This window comes from Homo sapiens, chromosome 4 (genome assembly GCF_000001405.40).
Source record: "Homo sapiens chromosome 4, GRCh38.p14 Primary Assembly".
In the NCBI taxonomy this organism is placed as follows: domain Eukaryota; kingdom Metazoa; phylum Chordata; class Mammalia; order Primates; family Hominidae; genus Homo; species Homo sapiens.
Window position 1 is genome coordinate 74,164,591 of NC_000004.12, and position 17,926 is coordinate 74,182,516.

Genomic DNA, 17,926 nt, shown 5'->3' on the forward strand with positions numbered 1-17,926 from the left:
GCCCATGAACTTTTAGCCAAATCCTCTTATGTAATGTAAGGTCAACAAGAGAGTATTCCCATTATATAGATGAAGAAATTGCATGCCGTTGAGAGAAGCTAAGTGACTTGCCTAACTTTATTATTGCTACTAATGGTAACCCAGAGCTCTGATGCTCAGGACTTCTAATTTCAGGTGAGTAGTTTGTACTACATAGTGCTGCCCTGCTACTCACTAGCCACCACCTCCCTTCTTTAATTTTTGCCTCCTGATGAAGCCACATTTCGTGGCTAGCCCAGCAGTAGGCTGGGCTTTTGGAAGGGAGGGCACCTTTTCTTGCCTTTAGGGGAAGGTCATTTCTGCCTTTGTGGGAAACCACCTGAGCAAGTAATGACAGGGCACATCATGTAAACAATATCTAAGGGGTCAAATGGATTTTATTTTTGATATGCATTAATGGCAAGGTCACTATGTAATTTTTTTGGCCAAACTAGCACATTTTTTAGAGTAAAAAGGGGCACGAATGTAATGAAAATTATATATTTGGAATATCTATTGGCTTACAAATATATTAGTGAACTTATAGAATAGTTTCAGACCATTTTCAAAATTAACATTTTAAAAGATAATTTATATCCTTATGTGTTAAAATAAAAATTTATATTACATGAACATTCAGCATGAACAATTATTCCTGGTGCATATTCACATGCTTGAATCAGTTTCTTAGCTGTATCTTTTAACACCTTGATCCTGATAATTTTCTGAAAAAAGTTAATAAGATCTTATGCTTTGTTTATTTTTTTTGAGACAGAGTCTTTCTCTGTCACCCAGGCTGAGTGCAATGGTGTGATCTTGGCTCACTGCAACCTCCGCCTCCTGGGTTCAAGTGATTCTCCTGCCTCAACCTCCCGAGTAGCTGGGACTACAGGTGCATGCCACCACGCCCAGCTAATTTTTCTATTTTTAGTAGAGACGGGGTTTCACCATATTGGTCAGGCTGGTCTTGAACTCCTGACCTCGTGATCCACCCGCCTCGGCCCCTCAAAGTGCTGGAATTACAGGCGTGAGCCACTAGGCCCGGCCCTTGTGCTTAATTTTAAAATTAAATTTTCTGCAATTTTCTTAACAGTTGCAAATAGAATCTTTGCTTTAGACAATGGTTATTTTAGTTTTAAAGGTACTGTCTCTATAGATGCTGAAACACCACATAAACTGCTAAATGGAACAGTCTTAATTCTACATTTTGCACATTGAAATGGGAAGATATTTTAGCCTAAATATTTTCACAGGTGCTATGTTGGTGTATCTTTTCAAAGTACTTTTCTTTGACAAATATTTAGATAAAAGAAATAAGTTGTTTTTGTGTATGATTTTAAAAATAGTTTACCATATTTAGATAGGGGAAAATTAAAGTTTTTCTCAATTGTATTCCAATGTTTTACAAAATGGTAATTTATTCCAGGAAATTTTATTCAACAAAAAATATGAGTTCCATCAGAAGATTATTCTCAGACATTGAACTATTTAAAATTGCTATTATAGATGTATTTATTTACTAATTCTGCTGTATACAAAGTTCCACAAACTAGCTAGCTTGAAACAGCAGAAATCTGTTTTCACACTGGAAACAGTGGAAGGAGGCTGGAAGTCTGAAATCAAAGTATCTGTAGGCCCACACTCTGTCGACTAGCTTCTGGTTATTGCCAGCAGTCCTTGGTGTTCCTAAGGAGTTTGCAGCTGCATAACTCCAGTCTTTGCCTCTGTTGTTAAATGGTTGTCTTCCCTCTCTGTCTTCACTTCCCTTTTTATGTGTCTCTGTGTCTTCTCTTGTAAGGACAGAAATTAAAATTACTTGTGCATTGTTTGAGCTATGATTTTTTAAATTAGTTTACTTCTTCCCTTCCTTTTGAAGAGATAAGGTTTCTGTTTGTAAGCTTTGGTTTCACTGATTACAATTCACTAAAAACTTTAAATCTGAAGGTGTCCCTACTCCCATTTGGTCTGTTTGTTGAATATGTTGATTAATAATGACCAACAACTTTTGAAAAAAATGCAACAAGTGTTGCCCATCCCAGTGCCAGGCCAGCCCCCACAGACACAGCTTGTAGGCCAGTCCTTGCAGACCCAGGCTCTAGGCCTGCACTAATGCCAGGGCAGCATCCAAAGATTCCAGCTGAGCCTCTGCAGACTTAGGCATCAGGTAGAAACTCATGGACCCACACTGTAAGCCTGCCCCAGTACCAGGTCAGCTTCCATTAATTCAGGTCCAAGCCTATCCCCAGGGACCCAAACTCTGCACCCAACCCCATGGTTCTAGGTACCAGGTCTTCCCCTGCAGATCTAGGTACCAGGGCCATTCCAGAGGACCCTGGGCAAGCCTAGTCCCCACAGACTTGGGACCAGACCCATTCCAATGCCAGGCTGGTCCCCATGGACTCAGGCTCAAGACCTACCCCAGTGCCAGGATGGCCCCTATGAACCTAGGCTTCAGGTCTGTATTTGCAGACCAAGGCTCCAGGACTACTCCTATATACCCAGTTGACAGCCCACCCCAGTGGACCCATGCACCGGATTAGCCCCCTGTGAGTTGAAGCATTAGGCCCACCACCTGCTGACCTAGGCATCACCTGCCAACTAATCCAAGGGCTTTAGCAGCAAGCCCACCCATGGGCCATGCCGGATGGCCCATCAAGAATCTCTAGATCCACTGACTGGTGAAGGGCTTTCCCTGCTGAAGCCAGTTTAGAAAGACTGGAATAGGCGCCTACTTCTTCAAGCGATAGACAGCAATGAAAGGCCACAGGCTTGTGAACCATTAGGGAAACCTGGCACCACAAAAAGAACAAAATTAACAATAATTGACATAAAGAAATGGAGAGCTACAGGCTGCCTATCCAGAGAACACAGGTAGACAACTAGACAATATCAGTGATTTAAAATACTACAAAAGGGTAAAAACCAGGTACTGTGGGAGCTCACAGCAGATTCCCAGGGTACAGGGTTGGGAAAACATCACAAGAGTGTTTTATAAGCTGAGACTTGAGCAATGTGTGGGACAGACTTGGCAAAGTGGTTGGAGAGGTGAGAAAGGGAAGGAAGAGTGTTTCAGGCAGAGGGAATATTATATCTGAAGATCTGGAGAGAACATGGTGCAGTTCATGAATTAAAATATGACTGGTGTGTAGTGCGCGACTCACTAAGCACAGTGTTCTTTAACAGTGAGGCTAAAGTAGCTCATGCAGAAGTGTGTAACCCATAGGGGATTGGGATTTTAGTTAACTTTTTCCCCCAATTTCTCAGGTCAGAAATGTTAGAGTCATGTTTGCCTTCTGTTTTTCTTTTTTTCATATCCTACACCCAATCTCAGTAACTCCCAAGGGTTCCACTCTCAAAATAGATTCAGAATCAGACTACTTAGCACCTCCATGGCTACCCCTTTGCCTAACTCCCCATGATCCCTTGTTTGTTATACTACACTAGCTTCTTAGCTGGAGTCTCCACTTCTCCCCTTGATCTCATAGAGTCTATCCTTCATATTTTCACCAGTTATTTTAAAAGTGAAAGTCACGTCAAAATCTCTAAATGGCTTCGTGTCTCACAGTAAAAGCCAACATCCTTTCAAAGGCCTGCAGGGCCTTATATAATCTGATGTCCCATTCCTTCTCTGACTTCATGTCTTACCCTAGTTCACTTGTTCTTTCCACTGCAACCATTGGCCTCTTGCTATTCCTCAAAGATTTCAGGTATGCTCCTTGCTAAAGGCCTCCATACTTGTTCTTCCCTTCCCTTGGCCTAGAATGCTTTTCTTCCAGAAATCTACATGACTCATTTCATTCATTTCTGCCCACGTGTCACCTGATTTATCAGAGAAGTGATATCTTAACCCACCTATGTAAAATAACTCTGGCCCTCAGATAAGTCCTTTCTCTGCCTCATGTTACACATATTAAATACTTGTTGTTTTTCAATTTGCTTATATCTTCTTCAACTAGAATATAGTTTCCATAAAAGTAGGTAATTGTTTTGTGCCCTATTATTTATATTCCCAGTGCCCAAAATAGTTTTCAGCACATAGGAGACTTTCAATATATATTTGTTAAGTGAATAAACAATGAGCATGTGGTGGGGAGTTTTAACCAGGGAGGTGCTGTAATTAAATTAGAAAACAATCACTCTGGCTGCAGTATGGAAAATGGATTAGAGGAGATCAAGACAAGCCGGAGAGAAATTTTAGGAGATGTATTATTCAGGGGCTGAACATTTGAATTGTTGCTGATGTTTAACCTTTTTAGCTTTTCAAGAATTTTCATGTTGAAAAATCTAATTTGTTTATGCACTAAAGTAATGAGAATGTGTGAGTTGACTAGTTCTTCCAGCACATGGACCAATACAGGCACTCTCTCATTGGACCTGCATTAATTTGAGGTTGCTTCATTTTGCCTCTTACAGTGACTCCTACAGAGCTAGGCTTGCTGAGTCTCTACGGTGACTGATGGAGTCAGTTGGAGGGGCCAGTTGCTACTGAAAATGCTCAGAGACCTAACTCCTAATTTACCCATAAACACCAGCTAGCCAGGCTGTATCATGTCTGCTGTAATTAGTTAGCGAGCTGACTTAGCACCTCAGTGCTATAATTTAAAGTAAACCCTGAACAGTCTTAGACTTGAGTATGCACGGTACAGTTAAGTTTAATCTGTATACAGGTTGTCTCTTTGGAGTCTGGGAATCAGTTTATGCTATTGGTCTTCTCTGACAATCTCCAGGTCACGCAGATTTGTACTGTCTAGGACATAATTAGCCTAGATTATACTCAGTGATTGCCAGCTTCACAGTGGCCTGTGAACAAATTATTTTGTTTAATGTGAGTGAATCAATAATGTGTCAGCAGTAGCATCACTACTCACATGCTATAAAATGCAAGACAGAGTTCAGATGTTTTTATATTTTAAAATAGAATGTATATTCCTTACTGTGTTAGGTGATTACTAGTTTTTTTAACAGATGAATCTGCTTCTATAATAGTGTTCTACCCCAAGAAAATATTGCTGACACAAATTGATTTATGGAAAGTTTTATTTGCTACTACCTATAAATGAGTTGTGCTGGAATTTGTTGCTGTATCTGCAGTTCTTAGTATTTGCTAATATAAAAGATCCTTGTTATCTTAGTGCCAAAAGGCTACTTAAATGAATTCATAAAATATCCTTACCAGAAATTCATAGGAAACAGTGAAAAAAGTTTGTTACTTTACTTTGAAAAATAAAAACCTCAAAAGTTTTATTTTATTTTAACTTGATTTGCTTATAATTACATACAAAGTATTGGAAGGTACAAAGCACAAGCTACAAAAATCACTCAAGAAATATTAGATAACCTGAATTGCCCTCTATATTAAGGAATTTAAGTTTGTAGGTTTAAACCTTCCCAGAAAGAAAACCCCAGAATCAGATAGCTTCATGGGTGAATCCTACCAAACATTTAAGCGAGAAAAAAATGCCAATTCTTTACACACTCTTCCGGAAATTTGAAGAGGATAGAATTCTTCCTAACTCATTCTATGAAGCTAGCATCATCCTGGTATCAAAGCTACATGATAACATTATAAGAAAAGAAAACTACAAACACCTCTTATGCATGTAGATGCAACAATTTTAACAAAATTTCAGATGAAATCCATGATAGTCTGGAAAGGATAGATACATAATAACCAACTGGGATGTATCCCAGGAATGCAAGTTTGATTTAACATTTGAAAATTGATCAGTTACCATATTAACAGACTAACACTCGAGAAAAACATATGATCATCTCAATAGACATAAAAAACACTTGGCAGTAGCCTCATACAAATTCTCACCAAACTAAAAATAGACATAAATCATAAACTGAATGTATAACTTAGGCCCATAAAACATCTAGAAGAAAACGCTGGAGAAAACCTTTGTGACCTTGAATTAGGCAAAGATTTCTTTTATACAACACTAAAAGCATGGTCCATAAAAGGAAAAAATAATAAATTGGAGTACATTAAAATTAAGAACTGTTCTAAAAACATGAGAATAAAAAGGCAAAGCACAGACTGGGAGACAATATTTCAAACCCCATATCTGATAAAGGACATGAATCTAGGATACACAAAGAACTTTAAAAAAACCCAAATGTCCAACAACGAAAGACTGGATTAAGAAAATGTAGCACATATACACCATGGGCTACTATGCAGCCATAAAAAATGATGAGTTCATGTCCTTTGTAGGGACATGGATGAAACTGGAAACCATCATTCTCAGCAAACTATCGCAAGGACAAAAAACCAAACACTGCATGTTCTCACTCATAGGTGGGAATTGAACAATAAGAACACATGCACACAGGAAGGGGAACATCACACTTCGGGGACTGTTGTGGGGTGGGGGGAGGGGGGAGGGATAGCATTAGGAGATATACCTAATGCTAAATGACAAGTTAATGGGTGGAGCACACCAACATGGCACATGTATACATATGTAATAAACCTGCACATTGTGCACATGTACCCTAAAACTTAAAGTATAATAATAATAAAATTAAAAAAATTCAAAATAGGAAACAACCTACTAAACAATGGGCAAAAGACTTAATTATTTAATTCACTAAAGAAGATCACAGATGGCAAATAAGCATATGAAAAGATGTTCAACATCAGTATTCGTTAAGGGAATGCAAATTTAAAGCACAGTGACATACCACCATATGTCCACTAAAATGTCAACAGTTTTAAAACCTGACCATCTGAAGTGATGACAAGTATATGGAGCAACCAGAACTCATATAGTGTTTGAAGGAATGCAAAGTTGCAAAGTGGTACAGTGTTTTTGTAACGTAACAGTTTTTAACGTATTTAAACATACACTTACGATGTGACCTAGCCATTCCCCTTTGAGATATTTGCTCAAAAGAAATTAAAGCGGCCAGGAGTGGTGGCTCACACCTGTAGTCCCAGCATTTTGGGAGGCCAAGAGGGGCAGATCACTTGCAGCCAGGAGTTCGAGACCAGCCTGGCCAACATAGCGAAACCCCGTCTCTACTAAATATACAAAAATTAGTCAGGCATGGTGGCATATGTCTGTAATTCCAGCTACTCTGGAGGCTGAGGCATCAGAATCATTTGAACCCAGGAGGCGGAGGTTGTAGTGAGCCGAGATCTTGCCACTGAACTGCAGCCTGGGTGATGGAGACCCTGTCCCCCACAAAAAAAATATTTTAAAGCATATGTGTACAAAATATATTAAAGCATATGTGTTATAAAATGTTTGTAACAGCTGTATTTGTCATGATCAAAAACTGGAAAGAACCCGAATATCCATTAATTACAATCGAATGGATAAACAAATATTGGTATATCCATACAATGTAATACTACTCAGCAATAAAAAAGAAATGAACCATTCAAACATGCAACTATGTGAATCAATTAAAAAATAATTATGCTGAGTGGAAATAGCTGGCCAAAAAAGAGTATGTAGTATTTGATTCAATTTTTATAAAATTATTCATAATACAAACCAATATATACTGAACAAAAGAGGTCAATGGTTGCCTGGAATGGTGAATTGAGGAGTGGAATCTGGCAGAGACAGGTGGAATGGCAAAATTTTAAAGGTGCACCTGGAAAGTTTTGGGAATGATAGACATGTTCATTTTCTTGACTATAGTGATGGTTTCTCAGGTATATACATATATTAAAACTTAAACTTGTACATGTTAAATATGTCCAGTTTATTATATGACAATTATACTGAATAAATCTTTTACAGAAATAAGACAGCAGAACAAGATTATTATATTGAATTCATCATGACATTTCATGTCTTGAAAGCTATTAAAATTTTAATGAAGAGTAGACAAAATTAGAATCAAAAGTAGAGTTTACTTAGAATGTCTAGTTGTGATTGTATTGTCTAACCAATTTGCTCAGTTATTTACTCATAAATTATGATTGTTATTAAAATACACTTTTATGGTAAACTAAAGTGGTTTTCAAACATGGTCATACACAAGAATCACATGTAGGAAATTATTAGACATGCAGATTTCCAGGTTTTTCCCCTGCCCCCAGGAATTCTGAATTGTAGATGTGGATTGTGGGGTCTGGGAATCTGCAATTTCAGGCAGTTTTTGATGTGTGTATCCATAGACCACGCTTGGAATTGCTTCTTAGCAGAACATTGTTTACATCAAAATTGCATGAACTGAGATGAATGCAGTGGAAGACTGGTGCCATGCTATAATGGTGTATTTTCGATCAAGTTCTACCTATACGTCCACAAACCTGCTAGAGAGAGCAGTTGACTTATTTGGAAGGAGCACAAAGTTTGCATTTTGTGTGTTGTCGGATATTTATAGCACCCGCCCTCATTAGAAAATTAAAAGTGTACAGATACCACAAAGAATTAAGGTTTATAAGGGCTTCCTTTCCTCCTCCTCTTTCTCTTCTGCTTCTTACTCTTTCCCTTTTCCTCCTTTTCATAATATTTATTTACCTACATTTGATGTTTTTTGTAGTAATCATGTTTTTACCGGGCCATTCAATAATGAAAGGACAGGGGCAGAAGGAAGAAGGGACCACCTTCTACTTTATCAGATACCTTTAAAAAAATAAACACACAGTAAGAGCAATGTAATTCACCACTTTCAAGTTTGAGGTCATGGAGAGCAGAAAAGCCTTTCTAGAAAGTATTTCTTTGTGCCTTTCCAGAGATAGTTTATATCATCTATCAAATTATGGCACTTCTTACCTTCTGAAATACTTATAAACTGCCAGGAAGTAATCTTCTGTGGAAACTTACTCCATTAGAAATGATGCCATTGCATTGGGAAGGAACTAAACTATCGGTTTACTGACCTGATCCCCACCATAATCAGTGACAAGCATGGCAAGACTCACAGCTGTTGTCCGGGGCCATGCCTGGGGCCATGGAATAACATTTTTCTTTGAGTAAGTTAAAAGAGTTGTGTAGTATGAAGCTCATGACTTCAGAGTCTTGTGCTGGATATGCTAACCAAAAACGAACTGATTTCGCCTTAGGGTCACAAGATTGTGGGGCTACGTGTATACATAGTGGAGTCCAGTCTTCAAGATGGTTGCCAGTTTTAACTAGGCTGTGCTGATTGATCTGCCTCTTTAGAAAAAATAGCAGAACTTTAAATTTAGGCAATATTATAGTCCAGATCTTGAGTATGTGGTTTGATAATTTATATGAATACATAAATGTGTGTATATGTATATACATATGTATGCATATGTGTATATAATATATATGTTTTATATATGTATGTGAAAGTTGTGAAGAAATGTACACTGTCGTTAGCATCTTAGTCTATTTGAGCTGCTATAACAGAATACTGTACACTGGTTGGCTTATACAAAAACAAATGAATTTCTTATAGTTTTGTAGACTGGGAAGTCCAAGGTCAGTACACCAGAAGGTTCAGTGTCTGGTGTGGGCCTGCTTTTTGGTTAATAGATAGCTGTCTTCGTGCTATGTCCTCACATGGCAGAAGGCACAAGGGAGATCTCTGGAATTTCTTAAAAGGACACTAATACCACTTATGAGGGCTCTATCCTCATGGTGTAATCACCACCCAAAGGACCTACCTCCTAATACCATAACATTTGGGGTTAGGATTTCAACATAGGAATTTTGAAGAGACATACACATTCATTTTATAGCAGATAGATTATACTGTAGAACTAAATAACAGAGTTGGAATCCTTCACAAAATTATAAAATATTTATGAACCTGAAGAGTAGGTGTCACTATAATTGAAAAAAAAATCAAATTTTGGGTGCTTGGAGAATCATGGTGGTTTTATTGAGTTTTGTACCTTAAATTTGTGCAGTTGAGTGTTTCTTATTTTCTTTTTAGTATTTATTGTTTTGCTTTCCACAGACATGAAGCCATTATTATATCAGGAACCGAAATGGCCAAGCATATCCAGAAAGAAATACAGCGAGGTGTGGAATCATGGGTTTCCCTTGGAAACAGAAGACCTCACCTCAGTATAATTTTAGTGGGAGATAACCCAGCAAGCCATACATATGTCAGGAATAAGATAAGAGCTGCCTCTGCTGTAGGTGGGTGTGTGTTTTAGTTGTAATTACTACTAAATATGTTTTCTGTTTTTACTTCAAATTGTGATAATTATGAATGATAATTATCAAATAAGTGCCATTTGAATTGCATGTATTATTATTAAAGATTATTCAGTTACCAAAGCTTATGTTAATTTCATATGATTTTTCTTCAAATTTCTTATAGGGTTAATTCAGTGTGTTTTATATTCTATGGCAAGATATGCAAAGGATAGTTTGCATCTAAAAGGCCTGCTTTCATTATATTTGCTTTAATCAAATAATAAACCTGGCTTGTTCACTCTGTTAAACTTGGCCTAATAGTTGCATGGTAGTGATATTTTTATTCTCTTCAAATCTACTAACAGTAGCTTATCTCAAACAAGTACAAATTGTCACCTGGCATTCCAGGCCAAAGAATACATGTGGATCAAGAGGAAACACCTGTACTATTGGAGAAATCCTTCCTGATGATGCATGGAACATCAGAACCTTTCACGGCAGTAGGAACAGTCCCACACTGTGTCAGACACTATTGATGAAAAACCATATTCAGTTAGTCAAGTGACCTTCTCTACCTGTTTTTCTTCTAGGTATTTGTAGTGAGCTCATTCTAAAACCTAAGGATGTTTCTCAGGAAGAACTTTTGGACGTAACTGATCAATTGAATATGGACCCAAGAGTCAGCGGTATATTAGTTCAGTTACCACTACCAGGTACATAATGCTCCTCTTATTTATCTGATTTTGTTAAAAGTGAAACAAAGGGCATCTTTCAACATCATATTATGATACTGCAAGTAATTTATAAAATACATTCAGAAGGAGACTAGCTATTTTACTAGTAATAGGTGTAATAGTGATTTCTGAATGATTTGTGCTTACATGGACAAAATCCTTGAAAGTGAAATATAAGCATTGGCAATACATACACTCCTTGCTTTGCACAGTAGTATGGGTCTCTAAAAATGACGATGTAAGATGAAACCAGGTAATGTGATCTTAATAATCAAAGGTAAAAATAACAATTTTTCTGTGGCCTTTAAAACTTCTTATCCAAGCATTGAAAACTCTCCTACTGTGGTTCATAAATGTATAGGGAAATGAATAATTAGTAAAACTAAGCTAATGTTTTTTAGTACACTCTAATTTAAAACATTAGAAACATTGAGAAAGTGTATGATATCTTTGCAAAAGCTCGTCAAAAGTAGTTGGAGCAGTGTTTGTCTTCTGTCTAATTCTATAACTTATCATATGGAATGGGCATCTTTTCTATGTCTTGGTGAATTGAACTGTTATATTCCTTTCAAAGTTTAGATTAGCTCCCAGTATTTTGTCTATTCTACTTTCAATGTTGTGAAATTTCTCTGAGAGTTCCTTAACATTTAAAGGAATTTCAGTATGAAGTTTCACATTGGCGTCACTTCATCTGAGATGTTGTTGTCTTTTTTATTACGATCACTTTCCTCGTTTGTGTGATGGATTCACCCTCATTAAGTTCCTCTGGCTGCGTAACTACGTCTCTCCAAAGGATTCAGTGTCAGCATTCTATGGTCAGCTATTTCTCCTACAACTCCATTTACATTAAATTAGATTCCTATTGAAATGACTTTGTTTTTTATGTTTATCAGGCTTTTTCAACATAAGACTTACCTTCGCTTCATGCGGGCCTAGGTTTCTCTTGTCTTTGTTTGCTGTTGTTCAGATCTTCTACTTACATCCAGTTTCCATCCCAGCATTATCACATTTTGTTTCTTTGCTATACTTTCACTTTTATAGGCTAATCCCCTCTGTCTGTTATCCACTTTTGTAAAATATCATGTGGGTTTATCTCTGGGAAACATGGAGAAAACAACACTTTGCCATCGATGTTTGATGATTGTAAATGTGCAGTGACCAATCATTTGAAAGAAGTGCTATGACTGGTCACTGATCATCATCTCATCTGTTATTTCTGTAGTGATCTGTGGACTAAAGAGCTAGCAGCTCTTGTATAATTACTATGAAATTTGAAATGTGTTATTGGAGGACTAGTATTATTTAACTGAATTGTTGTTCTGAAATTTGTGCATATTTAAACTGCGCAAAATGAGGACTGCAGGTATAGTATAGGTTACAGTAGCTTTGTAGTTTTGAGTTCTGTAAGCTTTGATTAACAATCGTGATGTGCAAAAAGTAAAGCTATATAATGCTATTATATGGGATCTTTATGTGGTATTAATATTTTTCTTTATCCAGCAATATAATGTAATATCTTACTTAGCATATGTTATAGCTTTTGTGCTGTTTACATTATATCAAAAATTCATACTTCTAATTCTTTTCCTCCAATATAGCTGCACTGACAAAAATCATCAAGTTAATAAGAATCTCAGAAGCTATCAGTTTTCCCCCTGAGAAAAATGCTCTGGCAGATAATGCTTACATTAATGATGTTAAAGTTAGTATAGTGATAGTATCACTTACCTTTAAAACTAGAAAAAAAATTCAACACGTGCAGCACTCTTATATCATAGGAAAATGAGATCTAGAGAAGATCAGGAGTTTATTAACATCACAAATCTGTCCAAAAAATTTTAACAGTGTTTCTCAATTGTTTGACTCACTCACAATGAATCTCCTGTTGGTACTGTATTTATCAAGCAATCTTCTTATAGTTTGCAGTTTTTGAAATTTTCTCTACTTGGCATTTCTACGACATTTCAATAACTGTATAAACATGTCACAACATTAATTCTTAAAATGTCCATTCTACACAAAATGACCTGAAAAGACATTTCTTAAGAGAAGACATACAAATGGCCAACAGGTATATGAAAATGATAAACTTCACTAATTATCAGGGAAAGGCAAATTAAAACCACAATGAGATATCACCTCACACCTGTTAGGATGGCTGTTATCAAGAAAATGAGGTAAGTGTCAAGGATGTAGAGAAAAGGAACCCTTGCTCACTGCTGTTTAGAATGTAAATTGGTACAGTCATTTTAGAAAACAGCATGACAGTTCCTCAAAAAATTAAAAATAGAATACCGTATGATCAAAAAATTCCATTTCTGTATATATATCCAAATGTCATGATATCAGTATGTCAAAGAGATATCTGCACTCCTAAAGTAATGCTGCACATTGCAGCATTACTTTAAGATACATAATCAACTTTAGTGTCTATCAGTGGCTGAATGGATAAAGTAAATGTTGTTGTATATATACACTATGAAATAAGAATCAACTTTTTAAAAGAATGAAATCCTGTCATTTGCTATAACATGGAACCTGAAGTGTATTATACTAAGTAGAATGAGCTAGGCACAAAAAGAAAAACCTGCATGATCTTACCTGTAGAATTTTTAAAAGTAAACTCATGGAAACATAGAGTTAATGGTGGTTACCAGGGACTGAGGACTGGAGAGGGGATTGTGGAGATGTTGGTTAAAGGATACAAAATTTTAGTTAGACAGGAATAAGTTGTGGAGGTCTATTGTACAACATGGTGACTTAGCTAATAACAACATACTATATACTTGCAAATTGCTGAGAAAGTAGATTTTAAATGTTCTCACCACAAAAATACATATCTTGACTTAGCTGTTTCATAATGTATACATATGTCAAAACATTGTACACCACACATATCTACAAATTTTTCTTTGTTAATTTAAAAGTATTAAAATAGTCATAGTTTTCAAAGTACATTACATTTAGTTTGTCACAGATTTCTAACTACGTTGGATTTTATATCTGTAGAAATTTTACCCCTTTTGAGCAACATTCCTTATTTGGTGAATTTATTAGCAGCTCGCTGCTAGATGGCACTGGTGATTTGTCTGTATTAAATACTAAATTGCCTGAGTCCTGTGCTAGAGACTAAATTGTTTGAGTGTCTCAAACAGAGAGTGTGAGAAGCATAGAGCTAAAGTGACCACAGTGATTAAAAAAAAAAATCTGGATGTTCTGAGAAAGGGCAGTTTTCTATGTAGCCAAAAAGCCAATAATGCCAAAATTGTGGCTAACATTTATTACATTATGACACTTTTGTATGCCATTTATATTACAAATGGCACTTTGTATTTATTAACCCATTGGATCCTCACAATAATCCTGTGAAGCTGGAGCTATTATATATTTTTTACTGATGAGAAATTTGAGGCGTGAAGAGGGTAAGTAACTTCTTCCAAGTTCATAGAGTTGCTAAGTAACTGAGTTGGGATTTGAATCCGGGCAGACTGGCCCCCATGCCAAGAATACTCTTACCGATTATGTTAGCACCCTCACTGGCACATCAGTGTTATCTAGTGAGTCATGTGTGCTTACTATGTGGCAGGCACTCCCTTACCTGGATTATTTTATTGAATCCTACAAACACCCTTATATGATAAGAATTAACTTCTTCATTTTATAGTTAAAGAGACTGAGACACAGGGAGGTTAAGTGAATTGACCAGTATTACCTGTTAGTAAATGGTAGAGCCAAGACCCAAACCCAGATCAACTGATTTCAGAGCCTGCCTTTTAAACTTCTTGTTACGTTTTACTGTCTCTCAGAACATAGTAAGGCATAACGTAAGCACATATATTTCAAACATTCACATACAAGTTCCTAGCACATGTAACCACCAAGTTGCTGATCGTTTGGTTTCCCTGTTTCCATACTTATAACCTATATTTTTTACGATTTTTACCTTGCTCAATAATGGTATTCCTATTTTTATTCATAATTTCTTTTTGGTAAGGTTTAAAAATGATAGCAATGGGATTAAAGACATATTAAATATACTATTCCTTTCAAAGTAGCCTCCATTTTAGTAATTGCACTTTGGTACATTTTTGCTAGCAGAAGATATTATTCAAATATGGGTATATACAGTCTGAATTTATAATGTGGCTTTGTGATTTACTGACCGTTACTTAACTTTGATGAGTCTTACTTTCCTCATAAAAAGAGAATTGAAAATCGATCTTTTATACTACATATTGGGAACATATAGTTTGTTAGTTAATAGAAAAAGTTGGTTAAAGTAGAAAATTGTAAAACAATGCATATGTACCTTAAACATTGTGTTATGTAATAAATAATTTAAATATTCATTCATCAATCTTTAACATAGATTAAAAGCTTTCTGGAGCCCACTGATTGGACTTCTGCATCATCTTCTGGCATTAATAATACTTATAATTCATTGCCTGTAATTTTCAGGTTGCGGTGTAACAGTGAAAATTCATCTAGATTTTCAAAATGTCTCCCAGTCTTCAAAGTCGCCTTGCTGTTACCTAAGTCATACTAATGCTTTTTAGTTCTTGAGAGTCTTTCCAGATCATTCAGCTTAGTTTTCTTACAAATAAGAACTGTTCCCTTTTGCACTCCATTGTCATTTATTTATATCATTTTTACCTATGTTATAGAATTTACTATGAAAAAACTGGCAAAGACAGGCTGGGAAATACAAAAATTGTCTCTTGGTTATGAAACTCAACTGATAGGGTTAGGAATAGTTTATTAACTATTCTCTGATATGTCCAGCAAGGGCTGGACATCAGCCTTCATGTTTTACAGAATAAATGGAGCTCATTAGTTATTTTGATAGATTGGCTGTATAGAAGTAGATGAATACAGCCTCTCCTATGTATATCTCATAAGACTGTTATAATGAACAAATTAAACAATAAGCAAATGAAAAAATGAATGAGTCTAGTTGATTACACCTTCAAGCTTAATAATATAAAATTATTTTCTATAATTTGGTTAGTAAATGTGTATTTCAAATTATTTTATCATTAGAAATCTGAGATTTCTCACAATTATGGCAATGTCTTGAGTAAAATAAATTCCAAGTTAGAATTATAATTCTAATGTTTGAAGACAGGTTTGCATAAGAATTAAACAGAATGTGCAGGGAGTTTCCATGCATCTCATTTGAGCAACAAGCAAAGAAATGAGATAGAATTCTGTCCTGTTTAATGGTACTGGGACTGTCACAAGCTAAGCCTTGTTTATGTTCAGAAGCTGTGCAACTTTGTTCAGGATTTGAAATGCTCGGGATATAAGAGTACACAGGCTTGCTCTTTGTCCAGTAGCTGACCCTAAAGCTAAGGAGAAATAAAAATGACCGAATGCAGATGCTTTCCTACTCCTGTCCTGACCGTGCAGAGATTCTTATCAATAAGTGGTCACTTTGTCGAGGTAAGAAAGGGGTCTGTTATTTATGTTATATTCTTTTTTTCTTCTAAGTAGGCATTTTATTTTATTTTTTTTTAGCTTTTATTGAGTTATCTGTATTAAACTGATATCATATTAAAAGTTAAATTTTTGGAGTATGTATCTTTGTATAGAGTAAAGTAATTAGAAAAATAGTCTTTTAAAACTGGGAACCAGTGGCATCCTTTTCAAACTAGAATAATAAAAGGGAAATTATAATATTCACAAACTTGAAGCACACTGGAATTCTGCTATAAATGTTTGTTATAGAATAGAATTTGGTGCAGGGTGAATTTGATTTAAGAGGGTTTAAATTATATGAACTGTGTGAAAACATTTAGATCTAAGGCTGAAAACAATTATCAACTCAATGAAATTTTAATATGGTATTTCACAACTGTGACTTCATGACAGCTGTTACAAGTGTCAGGAATGGTAAATATGTACTATTTACTAATGCCAACACTGTACAGAAGTGCTTTATATACAATAAATCATTTATTACTCACAGCAATCCTTACCAGTAGATGCTATTTCTATCTGAGGTTTGTGGTTAAGGAAAAAGAGTGAACTGAGTAACTGGTGTGAGTTCACTCAGTGAGTAAGTACCAGAGCGTTGTCAAGAGAACCAAGTGTAGCATCCTTCGTACCATAGTCACAGTCCTACAGCAGAAATTTAAGAGAGCATCAAGAGAGATGCTTGCTTACCCGCTTTGTATTTACTTGCTCTCTGAGAAGTCTACTTCTCATTTATTTCTGGAACACAATTAGGTAAACTCTATCTATTTCAAATGTTCTCTTCAGTTGTCTAGTTTGAAGCCTTTGAGGATTAGCACCTTCCAGTTTATTCAAGGGAATTGGACAAAGAAATGAGAATGAACTATAGGATTAAAGGATAAAACTAAAGAAGGTGAGTTAGAAGAGTTTGAGTTCATGGCGCAGATTTAACATAAAATAATCGAATAATTAGTAGGCATAAAAAGGTGGATATCGACCTAACTAGTAAGCATGGAGATATGTGTATTTGTCTAAAACTCATTTCTTCATTTGGGGAAAAAAAGTATTGCTATAATTACTTTTCATGAGAAATTATCAAATTTATGTATCCAGAACACTGATTATTATTAAAATGTTTGACCAGAGTGGGAATTTTTTTTTATCATTCTGAACTCTTTCCTATTTTATTCTGTTTAATTCAAGATGGTTTCTAAATTTTAATTTTACTTTGTTTTAGAATTTATATTTCCTTTCTCTATGGGAGAAACCCCAGTTCTGTGTTTGAGTGTATAGAATAATTCCACATAGGGAGAATTGCAGTAAACATTATAACCCTGTAATCTGCCTTGTATCTGTTAGACAATTAGTGAATGCTGTTGAAGAAATGAGTGAATCCTGTAGTTTTTCAGCACCACTTTTTTGTGTGTTAAGTCTCATCCTTCTGCATATGTTTCTACATGTAAGAGATTAGTGCATAAACAATTTAACTGATCAAGATTGGTGAAGATCTTGTGCCCGCACCCATGAAAGTTTTCTATAGCTATATAGTATCTATTGTATACAGGCCACGTTAGGAATGCATATTTTATAACTTGAATAATGTGTTAGCCTCTTACCTCTTCACTATATTGGTTACCT

General features: G+C 35.8%; 1 protein-coding gene across 20 annotated transcripts in view, besides 1 other annotated feature; it reads left to right on the forward strand.

Moving 5' to 3' along the window:
- Positions 1–17,926, forward strand: part of MTHFD2L (methylenetetrahydrofolate dehydrogenase (NADP+ dependent) 2 like) — a 188,540-nt gene that overhangs the window by 50,031 nt on the left and 120,583 nt on the right. For 18 of the 20 annotated variants that reach the window (NR_147097.2, XR_001741223.3, XM_047415712.1 and 15 more), the window contains 2 exons: positions 9,916–10,100; positions 10,691–10,813. Coding sequence is in view for 18 of the 20 variants with exons in the window: in XM_017008218.3 (XP_016863707.1) it covers positions 9,916–10,100; positions 10,691–10,813 (308 nt within the window). In the remaining 2 variants the exon portion in view is untranslated. Of the gene's footprint in view, positions 1–7,187; positions 8,960–9,915; positions 10,101–10,690; positions 10,814–16,096; positions 16,277–17,926 lie in introns of those variants that run through there. The other 2 variants (NM_001351314.2, XM_017008224.2) reach the window with 2 other exon arrangements.
- Positions 196–325: an enhancer, noted in NCBI's record as "active region_21614". NCBI's record gives its function as "activates an Ori minimal core promoter by ATAC-STARR-seq in GM12878 lymphoblastoid cells {active_cell/tissue: GM12878}" and the evidence as "EXISTENCE:reporter gene assay evidence [ECO:0000049][PMID:35858748]".